The 17,587-nt window shown below is 37.8% G+C and overlaps 1 protein-coding gene across 61 annotated transcripts in view, besides 1 other annotated feature; it reads right to left on the bottom strand.

The window, feature by feature from the left end:
- The window catches only part of EPB41L3 (erythrocyte membrane protein band 4.1 like 3), a 238,278-nt gene that overhangs the window by 50,688 nt on the left and 170,003 nt on the right, over nucleotides 1-17,587 (bottom strand). For all 61 annotated transcript variants that reach the window (NM_001384702.1, NM_001384706.1, NM_001384705.1 and 58 more), the window contains 2 exons: nucleotides 2,067-2,171; nucleotides 765-807 (listed from right to left, as the gene is read on the bottom strand). In NM_001384702.1, coding sequence (NP_001371631.1) covers nucleotides 765-807; nucleotides 2,067-2,171 — 148 coding nt within the window. The remainder of the gene's footprint in view (nucleotides 1-764; nucleotides 808-2,066; nucleotides 2,172-17,587) is intronic.
- Nucleotides 13,334-13,834: an enhancer, noted in NCBI's record as "H3K4me1 hESC enhancer chr18:5456406-5456906 (GRCh37/hg19 assembly coordinates)". NCBI's record gives its function as "activates a minimal SCP1, AML or CMV promoter by ChIP-STARR-seq in naive H9 embryonic stem cells {active_cell/tissue: H9 hESC(naive)}" and the evidence as "EXISTENCE:reporter gene assay evidence [ECO:0000049][PMID:30033119]".

Genomic DNA, 17,587 nt, shown 5'->3' on the forward strand with positions numbered 1-17,587 from the left:
TTGCTATACAAATGCACATTTTCCTCATTAATAGATATGCTGAATAAATTTCCACAAGTGAAATTAAGGGTCAAAAAGTACAGCTTAAATTTTAATATTGACAATTGCCCTCTGAAATGATTGAACCAACTTACTCTACCAATTGAGTAAATAAGTGCTATAGTTTATTATTAAACCCTAATTCTTTGTTAATCTGAATAGGTGAAAAATGTGTCATTTTAATTTGCATTTAATCATTAGTAAAATTTAGCAACTGTTTAAGACTTATTAGCTACTTGTATTTTAAATTTGTGACTTGCTCATGCAATTGTTTGGTCCATTAAAATACGTATTTTTCAAATTGCCTTCAGGGGACCAGGAAAAGAGGTTGTTACCAGACAGTAAACCTCAGTTTGACTTGTTATTCCTTTTCAAAGCTATGAAATGATTATGACTTTCATCTGGCCTTTCATACTTTTGTGACTGTTGGAACATTAATAATTCAGTTTGGAAGTTTTAAATGGTTAATTGCCAATTCTAACATCAGTTGATTAAATCATATACTTGACATCCATTCACAGGCAGAGAAACAGGCCAAGCATCACGGTCCCTTTAACTCCAAGTTGTGACAACTACAAAATGAATACTATCGGAATTGCCAGATCAAATTTGAGATAAGAAAAGCTTGTATTCACACTAGCCACTTAGGTATGGGCTACCAATTCAGACAACTTGCTCTCTGAAAACCTTCACATTTCCACAAAAAATAATCCAAAAGAACTTACTTCGAACCTGTTTTTTTATTTCCTTAGCAGGGTCCAACCAATTCTGAAAAGGAAATGACATTTTGAATTTGAATCAGAGGAGAATAAAAATGACTTAATGTTGATTAGGTACAGACTCTCCCTAAATGCAGTGCGGAGTTAGTGGTCGTGGGAAGGCTTCCCTTACTGTGGTCCTTCCCCCACATCTGGTGCCCCTCTGCCAAGCCCTCCAAGGGCCCAGGCACTGGTCTAATGAGAAAATGCACATGTATGCAGTTTGGGCCTGACAAAAGTCTTTTTCTTTTATAACCATTGCCTTCAGGGATTCAAGCTAGCACAGAAAAAGAGGGGAAAAGACAGAAGAGTCTATGTTCAGACAAGTTACTAGGATAAATTAAAAATATATGTAACTGGATACACTGATATCCTAGCCATTCAGTTCCACATTAGAGACTTCTGCAATAAAAGATCCTTAGGCATCTACCTAGGAAGCTTCCCTAACAAATCAATAGTTGCCTGTGATTTCCGATTTTCCTCATTGGTAAAATCAGATGTTTAATAATGAAGTGAGGCATTGTCTGGAGAATTCAGGAGGTATTAAGGATGATTTATGGCACAACACCAAAATGAGTAACAACTATGAGCAAAATTTCTGACTCAGCTTCCAGTGTCAATGCAATGGAAACGATTTCCTTTTCTGTATTTCTCAGGTAGTTGCGTGGATTAAGGAGATACAGCCCTGAACACAGTCTACAGAGGTATTGCATTAAACATAAAACATCTACTAAACATATTAGACAAGTGTCAGGTCAGCACACAATCCCCCTCATATTCTGATTCAGAAACATTATGAAAGCATAAAAAGATAAATGAAAAATAGGACAGCAGCAATGGTGAACTGCCCTGACAGTTTATGGGTTACAATCATAATATCGTCATAGAATTTTGGGATATGAGCATGATTTTTACATAAATATCAATTGATTTTCATTGGTTCAAATAATCTACTGAAACACATTACTCCCCCCAACCCCACCCCGGCAAAAGGAACCACATAAAATGCTTTCCAGGAACCACAAATAATTCAAGCATGAAAAACAAGGCTTCATTTACTGTTACCAGAATATTCAAGATTAAAGGAAGCTGTCAGTGATTTCCTTCATCAAGGAATAGATGATTAACAGCATTTACAGACTCAAAGTAGAAAGTGTGGGAGAATGAAGGGAGGTGGAGAAAGTGATCCACCCATTCAGTTTCAGTTCACTTTCTGGCAGTAATGAGCAGTTCAAGCCATCTTATTTTGCATTGCTTTTGATCACTCACCTTCTGGTTTTCAGCATCTCGATACGTAAGCCCAAAGTAGTCTTTCTCTAGCAAGTTCAAGTGTTCACACACTTTATCAAACAGCACTTGTCCTCTGGAGCGTTTCTACAGAAAACAGAATAGCAAAGCAAGTCAATACAACACAAAGAAAGTTCTCCCAAATATCAGAGATAAAACCAGGTAATATTTAAAACATTGCTTGGTGTAACTTTAGGGAGTGACCAACAGTGTGATCACATTGCCATCTCCTGTTTAAGTGCAAAAATGGCTAAAAAATGGCAGGGGAGGGCGAAGGCTTCAACCTACAAAAGCCCACCCCACAAATAAACAAAAGCAAAGTATCAACAGCGCTACTTAGTATGTACAGGTGACCAGTGGGTGATTTCTAAATGGAAGCAACTGGGGAAAATAATGTGATGCTTGGAAGCCTAAATATGTGAAACATAAAAATTCTGACAGTGAAAGAGTACATAACAAACCAACAAAAGCCATAATGCAGAGTGCCCTAACTCAATTATCTAGATCAGGAGTCCTCAGCCCCTGGGCCATGGACGGTTACTGGTCCATGGTCTGTTAGGAAGAGGGCTGCACAGCAAGAGGTGGGTGGCAGGCGAGCAAGCATTGCCAACCTGAGCTCCGCCTCCTGTCAGATCAGTGGCAGAATTTCATTCTCATAGGAGTTCGAACCCTATTGTGAACTGTGCGTGCAAAGGATCTAGGTTGCGCGCTCCTTATGAGAATCTAATGCCTGATGATGTGAGGTGGATCAGTTTCATCCCAAAACCATCCTCCACCCCAGTCCATAGAAAAAAAATGGTCTTCCATGAAACTGGTCCCTGGTGCCAAAAAGGTTGGGGACCGCAGCTCTATGAGATAAACTTCTGAGCCTGAGAAGAATTAACCCTGCTCCTTGTCTTAGGCAGACTCTCACTTAAAACCTATCCCAAATCCTTAGTTAGAAATTCTAAGGACCACTTTCTAAAATCCATTAAACAAATTTCATTATTTTTGTTTTGTTTTTCTTTTGTCACAAATTTCAGTTTATACAGAGTTTTTCTCTTAACTTTTTTAGAGCAAATCCTTATTAAACATAACAAAATATTCAGTTTAAAGAATACTTGAGTTATCATATATAAATACAAAATAGGGATATATGAGTTATATTTCTGACCATCAAGCCAGCATCTGGAGAAAAAGATGGTCATTTGGAAAAAAAATTCATCAGCTTAATTTATTGTGACGTATCATTTTTTCACCTAATCCTTCAAAGGCCTTTAAACATAGTCATGAAGTCTGTGACGAATTAACTGACAACAAATAAACTAAATGAGTTTTTTGTTTGTGCGCTACTAACATTTTACATCTAATACATTAAGCATATTTGTCTTTAAGAGTTAATGTAATACCAATGAGAAATATGAAAATTGATCAACTATGTCTATGCCAAAATAATAAGCATTCAAAAGACCTGTGAGTCGTGTGTTGTGTTATAGTGCAGCTGTAATTATGCTGAAAGCAATTACGCAGTCCCCTCAAGCATGACTATTTAGGAGAAAAGGCAAATTTATGGTAGAAAAGTAAGGCCTAAATCATAGCTAGCTAAATAATCGATGATGTATTTGGAAAAAACAGTTCCATAAAGTATTATGAAAATAAATTACTCGTTAGCAAAACTACATAATAACATTGCTCATCGGCTATGAATAAATATTTCGACAATGAAGCGCCTGCTTGCTGGTTTAAATCATTTGTTTATAAATAACAGCATATTATTTCTGAATAATATTTATAAATAACAGCATATTATTTCTGAATAAGCCTTCACAAATTATGAAGTTTTCACAAAAATTGGTTCTTCTGATGCTTCTATTGGTATGATCTCTAGTTCACAGGTAAGAACAGAGGTTCAAAGCAGTTGGATGAGAGAGGCAGACTTATGTGATGACCTGGGAAGTAGCTTTAGAATCAAGTAAACCTGTGCTTGAATCTTCAGGATGTCCCTTGCAGCTATGTAAAATGGGTATGACACTACTTACTTCTTTGGAATGGATGACATTAAAATCAAATAATGTATTCAAATGTGGCCTAGTGGTGGCATATATTAAGCATTCCATAGATGTCAGCTATTATTATAGCCTGGTGGCTGACAAACAGTAGAATAACTAATGTAGAGCAGATTATTATGCGTGTTTTCTATAGGAGCACATATCCAACTCCTGGTGGTGCCAATAAGCAGCTTTATAATTAACATGTCCCACTCTTTAGATATTAGATGCCTGCTTACTACCTAATTGCTTTAGCTAGACTACTTTTTTTTTTTTTTTTTTTTTTTTACCTACATACACACAACGTAGAAAAATACATATCAGTGTCTGGCCAAATACTTTCTCTATGTGTAAACAAAAACCAAAACAAATGCAAATACAAAAACTTTTCTCTACAAGGCTTCACTGGACCCTATGCCTCCTACATTTTCTGACGCAAGAGACCACAGCCATTTCTCAACGGAGGAATCGTTTCTGAATATGCTGCAGGCGCCCTGGTTACAGTTCCAATTCGCCACTTTCTGGCTGCTGTGTTCTTTCCTTTGCCTAACAAGAGGCATGGGTTAGCTCAAACACAGACTGTTAATGCTACCTGGCTCTCACTTTTCTGGTTCCTCGCAATTTGATTTCTATTAATGAGTCCCATCCTTCTCTTAAATAGACCAGATCTTTTCTTACTGAATATTTTAAACATATTTTAAACACTGGTTTTAAAGACAATAACATACTAGTCCACACTGAAGATTTTTTTTTTCTAATCCTTAGAGCTAAGACCAGTTGTCTGGTATCAGCTGTAGATGGTTATATCATGGGATGGAAGCAATGAAATTCTTACCTGCTAAATATCAGCATGGCCACCAGCCAGCTGGATGACTATGGAAAAGGCTTTTAAGTTATTCGGGCCTCCATTTTCTCATCCTTGAGTGGGGATGTAAGATTCTACTGAGCAAGATGTTTATGGGCTTGAGGCTCTAACTGGGCTTCCCTTTGCAAACCACTAATGGATTGAGGCACTCTCTCCCATTGCACCCAGATCGGGCATCAGCATCCTTCTACACGTCATGATGAGAAAGATGCTGCCAACGGATGGAGGTGGGACATGACATGAAACTTATTTTCCAGCCCTGGACTGGATCCCTTCTCTCCCAACTCTAAAAATGTCTTGATTCTTCTAACCCAGATGATTTTTTTTTCTAGCATATTATTCAACTTTTCAAGTCAACTAATTCTACTTATTGATATCTGCATGTGCCTGCAGGTAATCATGTTTACCATATATGACTAAATCTCAACAATCAATCAGACTGGAAATTTTGGAGAAATGATGTTTATTATGGTTCCAAAAGACATGTTGTTCTTTAAGTGATCAAATCATTGGGTGTGGTTACATGCTATACTATGAGTCAAGAACTGAGTATATTTTTTAAAAAAATGGATAGAGGTATTCTAAACTAATGAATAATTACCTAATCAGAAAAGACTGATATTTTGGTCTTACAATTATTTATGAGTGGTTATTTCTGACTCAAAAGCATTCAGTTTGTATATACTATTCAGTATGATATCATCCCCAAAATGTGATTTTACTTTCCTAGAGTAACAAACCAACGGTGGCTTGCCCTCTTCTTAAAATTTCCCCTGACAAATTGCATTTCTGTTTCTGATAGAGTAAATGGACATACTGAGTCCAACAATCAAGAAAGTTTTAAATGAAATGTCCTAAAAATGGCATATCTCCAAGCAACTTAAACAAGTTTCATGACTTTTTACATTTTTTCTTTAATTAAAAAATTTTCTAAATTGATTCTTGAAATTGTTAGGTGTTAGGAGATGTTTGTCAAAAGAGAACTTAAAGAGAATGAAAAGGGAAGCCAGAGACTGGCTGAAAATATTTGCAAAACACGTATCTGATAAAGAACTGGTACCCAAGATATACAAAGAACTCTTAAAACACAGTAAGAAAACAATCCAATTTAAAAATGGGCAAAATATCTGAACTTACACCTTACCAAAGATATACAGATAGCAAATAAGCGTATGAAAAGATGTTCCAAATCAAACATCATTAGAGAACTGCAAATTAAAACAACAGCGAGATACCTCCAAACGTATGTTATAATGGCTAAAATCCAGAACAATAAAAACACCAAGTGCTGGTGATGATGTGGAGCAACAGAAACTCTTATTCATTGCTGACAAGAATGCAAAATGGTAGAGCCACTCAAGACAGTTTGGCAGTTTCTTACAAAACTAAACCTATTCTTGCAGTATTCAACAATCATGCTCCTTGGTATCTACCTAAATGAGTTGAAAACGTATGTCCACTCAAAAACTTGCACACAAATGTTTATAACAGTTTTATTCATAATTGCCAAAACTTGGAAGCAACCAAGAAGTTCTTCTTTATGTGAATGAAGACACAAACTGTGGTGCATCCAGATAACGGAATAATGTTCATTGATAAAAGAAAAAATGAGCTATCAAGATATGAAAGAACCTTAAATGCATACTGCTAGGTGAAAGAAGTTCATCTGAAAAGGATGCATACTGTGTGATTCCAACGACATCAGTCTCCCATTGTCCATGGGATTTTACGTTCCAAGGCCCCTAATGGATGCCTAAAACCACAGATAGTAGTGAATGCTACATATTCTGTTTCTTCCTATACATATATACTTATGATAAAGTTTAATTTATAAAATAGGCACAGTAAGAGATTAACAATAAGTGATAGTAAGATAGAATAATTACAAAATATACTGTAATAAAAGTTATGTGAGTGTAGTCTCTATCTCTCCCTCAAAATATCTTATTGTACTGAACTCACCTGTTTTCAGACTGTGACTGTGGGTAAGTGAAACCGTGGAAAACAGAATGGGGAAGTGAGACTGCAGATAATGGGGGGGACTACTGTACATATCATCCTGGAAAAGGCAAAACTAAGGGAAAAAGGCAAAACTAAAGGCAAAAAGACCAATGGTTGCTAAGGGTTTGGGGGTGGGGAGGGATGAATAGGCGGCTAACAGGGGATGTGGGGGACAGTGAAACAGTCCGTTATCTGTATGATCATGAAATGGTGAACGCATGACATTATGTATTTGTCAAAACCCCCAGGATGAACAGCACAAAGAACAAACTGTAATGTAAACTATGGACCTTAGTCAACAATAATGTGTCAATATTGGCTCATCAGTTGTAACAAATGTGCCACACTAATGCAAAATGTTAAAAATAGGGGATCCTTCCTGTAAGAAATAGCAAAAAATAAAAATAGAGAAACTGGGGGGGGTGAGGGGAAGAGTGTGAGGGGGTATATAGGAACTCTGTGCTTTCTGCTCAAGTTTTTCTATAAACCTAAAACTGCTCCAAAAACATACATCTACTAACTAAAAAGAGAAAGACAAAAATACATTCTTAGTTTAAATTGTTAATAAAATAATTAATTAAAAAGGTTAGTAAAAAAAAAAGTTAACCTCCAAATGATTTTACTTTTATCATGAGTAAATACAAACTTAAAATTTTCATTGAATCGACATTTTAGAAAATTCAAAACTTAACCTGATAATTCTCCACTTATCTTGGTTTTCCCCTTGAAATTAACTTGCCTAAGAAACTATGTCATTTGCCTGTGGAGTTCTTTCAGTGTAGATTCTCCTGTTTGCATCTTTATGGTGTAATTTACCAGCTCTCCCAGTCTCCTGAATCGCCCCTGAAGTGGGAGTTACATCTAGAAACTTCGTCAGGTTCCGGTTTGTTTTCCATAAATGATACTTCATTAGGAAGCACTACGTGACTGCCTGATTTTTTTTTTACATGTGTGACATTAGCAGTCACTGATGACCATTGCCCTGTATCATTCATTCCAGACTGCAAAATGGTGATATTCTAATCCGAATCATTCCTTCTTCATTTATTAACTGGAGCATGTTTATAAAGAGGTATTTCCTTTTGTCAAAACTATTTGTTTACCCAGTGACACAGTTTAATTATGAAAATGAAGATAAATGCTTGTTTCTCTCCCTTTATCCATTTTCAAGATGATGAGTTGGCTCCCTAGCATCACCCAAAGTCACCAATTAGATCTTTTGGCTTCATACTATCATGATGAGCTCACTGAGTTAAACAGTTCTGATGTGTTTCAATCCATCTCAGGCATTACCCATAATGATGCTCTCAATGTCCCACATGTTCTGCTTTGCCTGTTAAGTCCTCTCATCCTTCAAGGGGTTTCCCCAGTGCCAACTCTCTGAAGCATTTCCTGTCTTCCCAGACAAATGTGATTTCTCTCTCCTTTGGACTTTGTGGCACTTTATGGCAGCACTTTCTATATTCTGCCTTACATCCCAGCTGTGTCTCTGGGCACTCACTTCATATCCCTGACCGTAAAGACATTTGCAATGGCATTGGGCCTCCTGCATGTCATCTTTCACAGGGCCTCTTTCTTTGTCAAATGCCATTGAGAGATTAAAACAGTAACTTGATGAAACTTTACAAAAGTATTTTTCTCACTAGCAAGCCGTAAGCAATGACACCGAAGCAATGTTTTAAACTAGTGGTTTTCAACAGTGGATCCTGGGGGCACTTAAAACATGTCAATGTCCAGGCCCCTATCTCAGGTCAATTAAATTGGAATTTCTGAAGTTGGGCCAAGGCAACTGCTTTTTGTTTTGCTTTGACGGAGTCTCACTCTGTTGCCCCGGCTGGAGTCCAGTGGCGTGATCTCGGCTCACTGCAACCTCTGCCTCCCGGGTCCAAGTGATTCTCTTGCTTCAGCCTCCCAAGTAGCTGGGATTACACCTGCCCGCCACCACGTCTAGCTAATTTTTGTAATTTTAGTAGAGACATGGTTTTGACACTTTTAGTAGAGACATGGTCACTCGAACTCCCTGACCTCAAGTGATCCATCCACCTCGGCCTCCCAAAGTGCTGAGATACAGGCATGAGCCACCACGCCTGGCTGACATCTGCATTTTTTAAATATACCCAGGTAATGCATGCTGGTATGCTGGTATGGCTGAACAGTCACTTTAAATTAAAATATGTTTGCAACTTATAAATTTTTAAATATGAGGACTCTAAAAATATTTTACTTTTTTGGGAGGAAGTATATAGCTTTTTCGGATTTCGTCTAGGCCAATATTCATAGTTGCATTACAGTAAAATTGGTTTACACAGACACAAGTGCCTAAAATCCTTTTTTTTTTTTTAGAGGCAGGGTCTCACTCTGTCACCCTGGAGTGCAGTGGTGCAATCACAGCTCACTGCAGCCTTGACCTCCTGGGCTCAAGCAATCCTCCCACCCCAGTCTCCCAGTTAGCATATAAGCATGTAGCATCATTTCCGGCAAATCTTATAAAAATTCTTCTGTAGAGATGGGGTCTTTCTATGCTGCCCCAGGCTTAAAATCTGAAGACATTCATTCCAACACATTTTCTTGAAAAATAAAAGTTCTCAGGAAATGATAAACTGGCCAAATGCTAAAATAAAATGACACAAATGAGAAAAACCACTAAACTCTCGAAAGAAACGCAAAAACACTAACTTCCATTTAAAGCTATGAATACAATATAAGAAAACCAGAAATGTTTAAAAATTTGTTGTGTGTGTGTGTGTGTGTGTGTTTTTAAAAAACGGAGACAGTTTCCCTTTGTATAGTTAAAATACACTTTTACTCAAGATCCTGTCACATTACTAAAGAATGACCCTTAGTAGGTTAATAAATGTCTTGATCTCCCCTTTTCTAATAGAGCAGGAGCATTCACATCTTCCCTAGCAGGTGACTGGGGTGACTGACGGGTACAAACACCTGGCACTGAGGCCAGGGAGGACAGCTCTCCTTGGCACAGCTTTCTCCAAAATGGGCATTGCCTCCATTCCTGAATCCCTATAAATCATCTCTTAGTCTGTGCCCAAGACAATGAGTGCAAAAGCAGGAAGGCACAAATTGCGCCAAGTCTCAGCACTGGACTACAATAAAATGTGTTTGGGTTTTTTTCTTCAGTCTTACAAAGCTATGAATCAGCCTGAGTGAAGCCCTCTTCTGGCACAGCTGAAATTAGAGAAATCTGTCAAGTCAAAAACTGTCTTTTAGCCTTGGAAGACAGGGTACAGTTATCTATCTGAAGCTGTACAATCATGAAGAGAATGAGGAGAGCAAGTTGTTTTGCATGAGAACTGGAGCTAAGCAGCAGTCCCTGCTGCTCAGGAAGGAATGGGGTTCCTGCATCAGAAGGTGTGTGCATTGGCAAGGCTCTTCAGGATGCATGCATGCATTTCTTTAGACAATAACGTTGAAAAATGAAAATAAAAAAGCCTCCTGCCTATGCTGGCTTAGGCTCAAACCCACTCATGTTAATACATGAAAATATGGAGAGCTACAATATTGAAAATTTCCAGCAAAACTGATGCTTCTGTATCCTTATTTGAGGGGCTGTCTACACCGTAAGTACTTCATTCTCTCCATCACCTATCTTCCTCAAATAGACCCCTGATTTTCTTTTGGAAGTTATATTTCTTCATGAGTATAGTATTTTGTGAACTCCTATTTCTGCTCCCTGAGGATGGAAAACTGCTTGTCCTTTTTACTGCCCTGGTACAGTGTCCTGAACACAGCAGGCATTCGATCTATGTGTCTAAGAAGTGCTACTGACAAGAATTTCAAGAAAGAATTTCTTCTCACATTATTTTGGACGAATCTAACAAAATGTCATCTTTTTCCCCCCATGCTTCCTGCCCTAATTGCATTTTTCCTCACTGAATGCCTTTTCATTTTCCTCACATTTAAAGGTCACTTGAACTTGTCTTTATTTCTAAATGACTGCACTACCATTTACCTCAAGGATGGAGACTCTAAAGAGTTCGGCAAACTCTCTGGGCCACAGCTTGAGCCCAAATCAGACACCTGGACTCTGTGTAAGTCACCTTTCCTGGGCTTCCTTTTTTTCTAACGAATTCTTGATAGAAAAATACTCTATAACATTGCCTTGAAATTTAAGCGGAGAGTGTGTTTTTTTTTTGTTTCCTTGTTTTTTTTTTTTTTTTTTAATCCATACTTGGAAAATGCCAAAGCGCCGTGGTCAAACCCAGGAACAAAAGATGATGGTGTCTGGTCTGGGACAACAGAGTCCATAAAGCCTTAGAAAGGGCTGGAGCTGGGAAGCCCTAAGAAGAAAGACAAGGCACCAGCTATCCTATGTGAATCTCCTGCCTTTTTGGGCTGTCTCAAGTGTACATGCAATGCCACGTTTAATAAGCATGGAAAGTCCATTATCCACATCACTACTGCCAGAATCCATTCTCAAGAGGCAGGACTTAATGGGATCTTTCAGCCTATGTACTAATCCCAAATGTGGTCCAGGCAGCATATTCATAGAGGGCTGACATGAGAGGCAGAGATCACATTTCTTCTCTCTAGATGGCACATATATTGTCAGTCCTTTCTTTAAATTCATGAGCAATCAGCTCTTCAGAAAACCATGAGGGTAACTACTTTCAAACATTCATCAGTCAATCAATAATTGTTCTATCACATTCTCATTTAATCAAGTTAGCAATAATGATCTGGAGCCTTCTGTTAAAATAGGAATATGAAACTACTTCCTGGTCTTGGTAAATTTATAAACAAAATAGTGAACATGTGTGTTTAATTTCCAGGTCTAAATTATCTAGAGATGAGAATTCATCTGGCATTATTTAAACACCTTTAAGTTGGATATTCCTACCCACTGAAAGTTTGTCTTCCCATTATTCAAGTGCAGTATATTAGACAGTCCCAAGGCTGGACTCTGGTTCTACAACTAATCAGCTCTGTAATGTTAGACAAGTTATTTAAACCTCTCTGAGCTTCATTGTTTTCATTATAAAATGGAAATAATACTGGTACTTATGCAAAGGATTGTTGTATTAAGATAAAACACTGGAAAGCACATTGCCTAACTCATGGGAAGCATCAACAATAAATGCGGGTGATTATTATTAGGCCTTTTTCATAAGGAGCCTGATAAATTTAAGGTTTCTAATGCTGAATTTGGAATAGAGACTGATGTACTATTAAAATCCTATTTATTCTACAATGAAATCATAGAAAACAAATCATACCATTACTCTTACGAAAAAAAAAAATCCCTTCTCTTTACATAGGTAAAACTGGGAAATTATTCAAAAATAGTATTGATATTAGTAAACTGAGTCTACATTCAATTTTTCTTTTCAAACACACACTCCCAGAACAGTTTTAAATACATATTGGGTATACTGGCACATTTTGGTATTATGCATTGTAAGCCATATAGCAATGTCCAAACTAGATTGGGCTGTTCACATGCAGTAGAGTTGACCTATGTTTTGACTTAGATTCAGTGCGCAAACACTTCAAGTACATACATGACAAAAGTACCTCCCTACATATTAAGCCCATCTACCTTTCTTTAAAGGTGCTTTTTTTTTTTTAATTGGTTCCTGCCTTCATTTGTTGTAATTTCCGTCTCTACTTGAAACCAGACTTTTGCACTCAGAGATGTGCACTGTGGTAGATGATGGCTTTCCAGTGAAGCACGCTTCTTCTTGGCTAGCAGAAACATTGGGCTTGATTTTTTGCAAAGAGTTTCACATCACACATACGAGATGTTGGCAGCAAACTGTCAGACAACATTTCCTGCTGTGGATTCAGGTCACTAAGCCAACGCATGCAAAATGAACGCAGAAAAGGAAGTCTAAGAAGGAGGAATGTTTGAAACAGACACGTACTTAAACCTGAATCACGTAAAATAATCATATTAGCTAATTCTGAATGACGTGAAACTTTGAGAATTTTCCTGTGAGAGGAAGTACTTAACTTCTTTTGTAAGAATTCTCAAAAAAACCCCTAAACAAACAAAACTTGAATTGTGATTTATAATTCATTTGGTCAAATGAAGAGCTATATGCAACTCAAATATAGACAATAAAAACACCACTTTCAATAATATGAATTTAATGAGTATGAATTTGTAGCACTGTCACTTTTCAATTCTGTAAGACACTGATAATCAAAAAACATGAGAATAATATTGTCATTGCTTTAAAAAACTATGTACTAAGTGAATCTGTGTCCTTTCCTGTCCATCAACTGTTTAAGCCTATATTAGTAGGGCAAGGCTGAGAATAAATAGAAAGAGAAAGAATATCAAGGTATTACATAAACCACCAGCATATTTAAAGATGTAATGATATATCATTTCACCAGTTAAATATGTGTTTAAATTAAAATGATCTTATAATCTATGTAAGACCTGTAATGAAATGTAAATAAGTGGTTAAAAAAACAGGACATGCTCACACTGTAAATGATGCTTCATTCAGTCTTGTCTGCACTTGCGCATATCATATTTTAGATGAGTATTTAAAGTCCAGTAGATAGGGGAAGAAAAAACCTTCTCAATCATTAAATATTTTGATTCTGTATACTTTTTGGTTTTTGTTTCTGATACATGTAATACCCTGTTTGAGCCACTGAGGGGTATAGTTGGGTCTACACATCAAAGGTCAGTATTGTTTTCTAACATTCCTCTATCAGGGCATCCTGGCTTAATACTGCGTGAACCCACAATCCCAGAAAGCCAGTGCTAATCCTCTTTGCCCAGCCGTTCCCACTCCTGTGACAGGGGTAAGGAGGAAGCTGCTGAACCCTGCTAAGAAGATGGGAGGCCTGGTCTAATTCGAGAACCAGACACGGCAGGCCCTGTCTTCTGGGCTCAGCCCAGTGAGAAGCTGGAGCAGCAGGGAGGCGCGCTCACTGCAGCGATCCCGTGGCTCAGCAACCTGCAGGGAATGGTAGTCACTGCTCCTTCCCGAATCTCAGATGACTATTCCTTTAAGTTCTGTGGTTACAATCTGTAAAACATATGAGTAGCATTTGCAAATGGTAGTAAATAACAATCACATAAAAACTGAAACCATAAGGCAAACCGCACTCTCAACATGGCTTCAAGATAGGTACAGCCTTTTCCTGTAAGCAACAACTCTACCGTTCTTTTATCTGTAGGAAAATCGCAAACATTCTATTCAAGCAAAAGTAAAAGATTCCATACATGTTTAGACTGCACTGTTTTTTCTCTGCTTGTGATAAAGCAATTGTCTTTCCTGGAGCTTATCTGCCCTCGGGGCTGAACTTGAGTAAGGTTCAGGACTGAGGGGCTCGGGAAGCTCTGCTCCCCTGCTTTTTTGGAAGTCTTGCTGATCCTATAAACCAGCTCTCCTTGCTTTCATCTGGTGGAACAAGTGATCTCGGATGGCACAGTAGGCAGTGAAGTGAAAATTTAGGGAGGTCATCCCTGAGACTGTATCACTTATTTTAACTTCTGTTTTTACCATTGAAAAAGAAAAAAACACACACACACAGATCTCAGGGAGAAGAAAGCTATATGACAACATCACGGTTTAGCTATCAGATTCAGTAGTGAGAGATGCTTCTGGTACACAGACAGCAAAAGCCTAACTGTGGAAAGACCCTGCAGGGGCCTCCCAGGCTTGCCTGCCTCTGTGACTTCCCTGCTACCTCACCTCGCTCCCTGTGAGGCTCTCTCCTGCAAAGAGGAGACTGTACACACACCTCCACGCCCCGAAGCCTTCTACCCGTTCGTCCTTCTCTCCACCACTCAAGCACCCCTTCCTCAGGATTCCACCCCTGAACTGCAGGACTAGGTTACATCTCAGGGAAGCTGTTTTCATAGCTCCTGCGTTGCCACTGTCAGGGGGGCACTTTTATTTTTGTTTGTATTAGAATTTGAGTTGTGGTCGGGGTAGCCTACCTGTAAGCTATATCCACTCACCACTGTATTCTTACAGTGCCGGGCATCGAGCAGAAACATTTTTTTAAAAATATCAAAGAAAATCAAGCTAAATAAATGCATCTGGGGTTCATTTCCTGCTTTAAGACTCTTGAACAACTGCTCTAATCTTTGAAATTTGTTCATGACCAATTTGTTTATATTTCTCTACCATGCAGGTATAATCTTCTCTGGCTAGAACTACAGTGTTGAATTTTTACCCCCATTCTTGTAAAAAGAGAATACTTTATTCCCACAAATGAAAAACCTGTTTTTTAATGTTCCACCTCAAACATCATATAAAGGTTAACTTCCCGATAAACTTCTCAAATTTTCCCCAAGGAGTAAGTGGTCTTAAACTGTGGTTTTACTCTATTACTTTGATTTGATACACATTTTATCCTTCACAATATAGAAAAATACATGATGGATCATGGTTTCTAAGGAGAGGTCTTGGCTAAACTGTATTAGGCCACTCGAATCGCCCAGTTATCAACACACCTGGATCTGGACACCATCTGATTAGTGGGTGTGATCATCTGATGAATGCAGACAGCAGTTCTGGGCATGGTATGGGGATGTGTCTTGGATTCCCTTCTTAAATTCAAACTCCTGGATAACTAGGAAAAATATTCTCTCGCCCTATCTAACTATAGAAAAAAACACATGAATAACAGTTTGGAAGCATTAACTATTAAATATGTAATTGGTCTTGTACCTAAAAAGACTGTTCTAAAACTGAAATTGATATTTTTGTAGCAGTCACCATATTTAGCGGACTAACAGTTAATAATCCTATAAACGAAATGAACTAATTGACATAACTGGGCACGTATTTTGCTTTGAGGTTATCTTGAAGACTAGAGAAAAAATTACATTGCTCAAGCTTAAATGTCCTATGAGTGCTTTAAAATTTTCATGGGTTAAAATTATTGAAGTCATGCTCTATAAAGTACAGTTTTGGGATCTTGAGTATGCCTTTGTCTCTAAAATGGCCTAGATCCAAATTTTTGAGGTATATTTTAACCTCAGGCACTTCCATGAACCACATCCTTGCAGGAGGGTGATATTCTCTTTGTGAATATGTTCTAGTCAAGCCCTCACCTCTCAGGAGAAGATGCCCATCATCTCTAGTTCTGATATTTTAAAATACAGCTCTGAGTTCAGGCATGGTAGAGCATGCCTTTAGTCCCAACGACTCAAGCGGCTGAGGAAAGAGGATTGCCTGGTCCCAGGAATTGGAGTACAGCCTGGGCAACAAAGTAAGACCCCATTTCGAAAAGAAACCAACGAATATATAGCTCTGAAATATTGCCTAGATATTGTAACCATCTGGATCCCATTCATTGGCTTCTAGTAGGAAGCCAATTAATTTGTGTATTGAGAGCCTAATGTCCATTGGTCTCTTTTTTTTTTTGAAGGCCTTATCAGATTTATTATGAATTATTAATTTTTGACTTTTGCTTTTTGTTTAAGTTTTCTAACTGAGTGTTGGGCATACCCATAACTTAACTATAACCTTGGTAGCTGTTTTAGATCTTTTTGAGGATAAAAAGAGAAAATAAATGTATTTTTAAATCTTTCATTAATTAAAATGAAAATTTCTGGTTATATAAAGGAAGTTCTTAATCTGTATCTACTGAATGAGAATGTTTTAAGCTGCAATCCTCTTACGGAAATAAATTCAGAAATTATATATTCCTGGGATATTCTGATTTCTCTTCTGCTAATAATATCAGTGTGTAACAGACATACTTATGCATTTGATTATACATGATGCACATATCAAATGAATGCAATCAAAATGTATCCTTTTTTTCTAAAATAAACTATTATCATAGAATCATAAGGAAGGAAAGACTGCAGACTATACAAAATTATCTCTAGAAGATGACTTTTAAATTTCTCTTTTATTTTTAAACTTTTATTTTAGAGTTGGGGCACATGTGCAGATGTGTTATATTGGGATATTGCATGATGCTGAGGTTTGGGGTACAGTTGATCTTGTTGCCCAGGCAGTGAGCATAGTATCCAATAGGTCATTTTCAGTCCTTTCCCTGCTCCTCTCTCCCTCATTTTGGAGTTTCCAGTGTCTATTGTCCCTATTTTTGTGTCCATGTATGCCCAGTGTTTAGCTCCTACTTATAAATGAGATTGTGCAGCATTTGGTTTTCTGTTCCTACATTAGTTTGCTGAGGATAATCACTGGCTGCTTTTCTCTGCTGACTGGATCAGTGGGTTCATGGCTGCTACACATGAGTGGCCTCTCATTTGGGTTCTCTCAGTAATGATCCTTCAGGGTGATGTCTGGGAAACAGCACACTGCAGGCACATCCCATCTTCTGTGATACTCCCACCATCTAAACTTGTTAGGGAAGGAACTAGGAAGTCCATTTTGGCCCCATGTCCATGCCATATTCTCCAGTTTTATCCATACCAAAACTCCTGTGTCTAAAAAATGTGATATATATATACACATAGATATGTATTTGTACGTGTGTGTATGTGGATGTGTTATGTGTACTAAACATCACAACAAGTTGCATCTCACATACATAATGAGGAGCATAATCTCAAACTGATGAATCATTACTTAATGGTTATTAAAGGTTTGCTTGAGAGGAAGAACAATCAGTGAGATGTTTCTGATGGCTGTTCATAGTCCACTCCT

The sequence above is a fragment of the Homo sapiens genome, chromosome 18, assembly GCF_000001405.40.
Source record: "Homo sapiens chromosome 18, GRCh38.p14 Primary Assembly".
NCBI classification, from domain to species: Eukaryota; Metazoa; Chordata; class Mammalia; order Primates; family Hominidae; genus Homo; species Homo sapiens.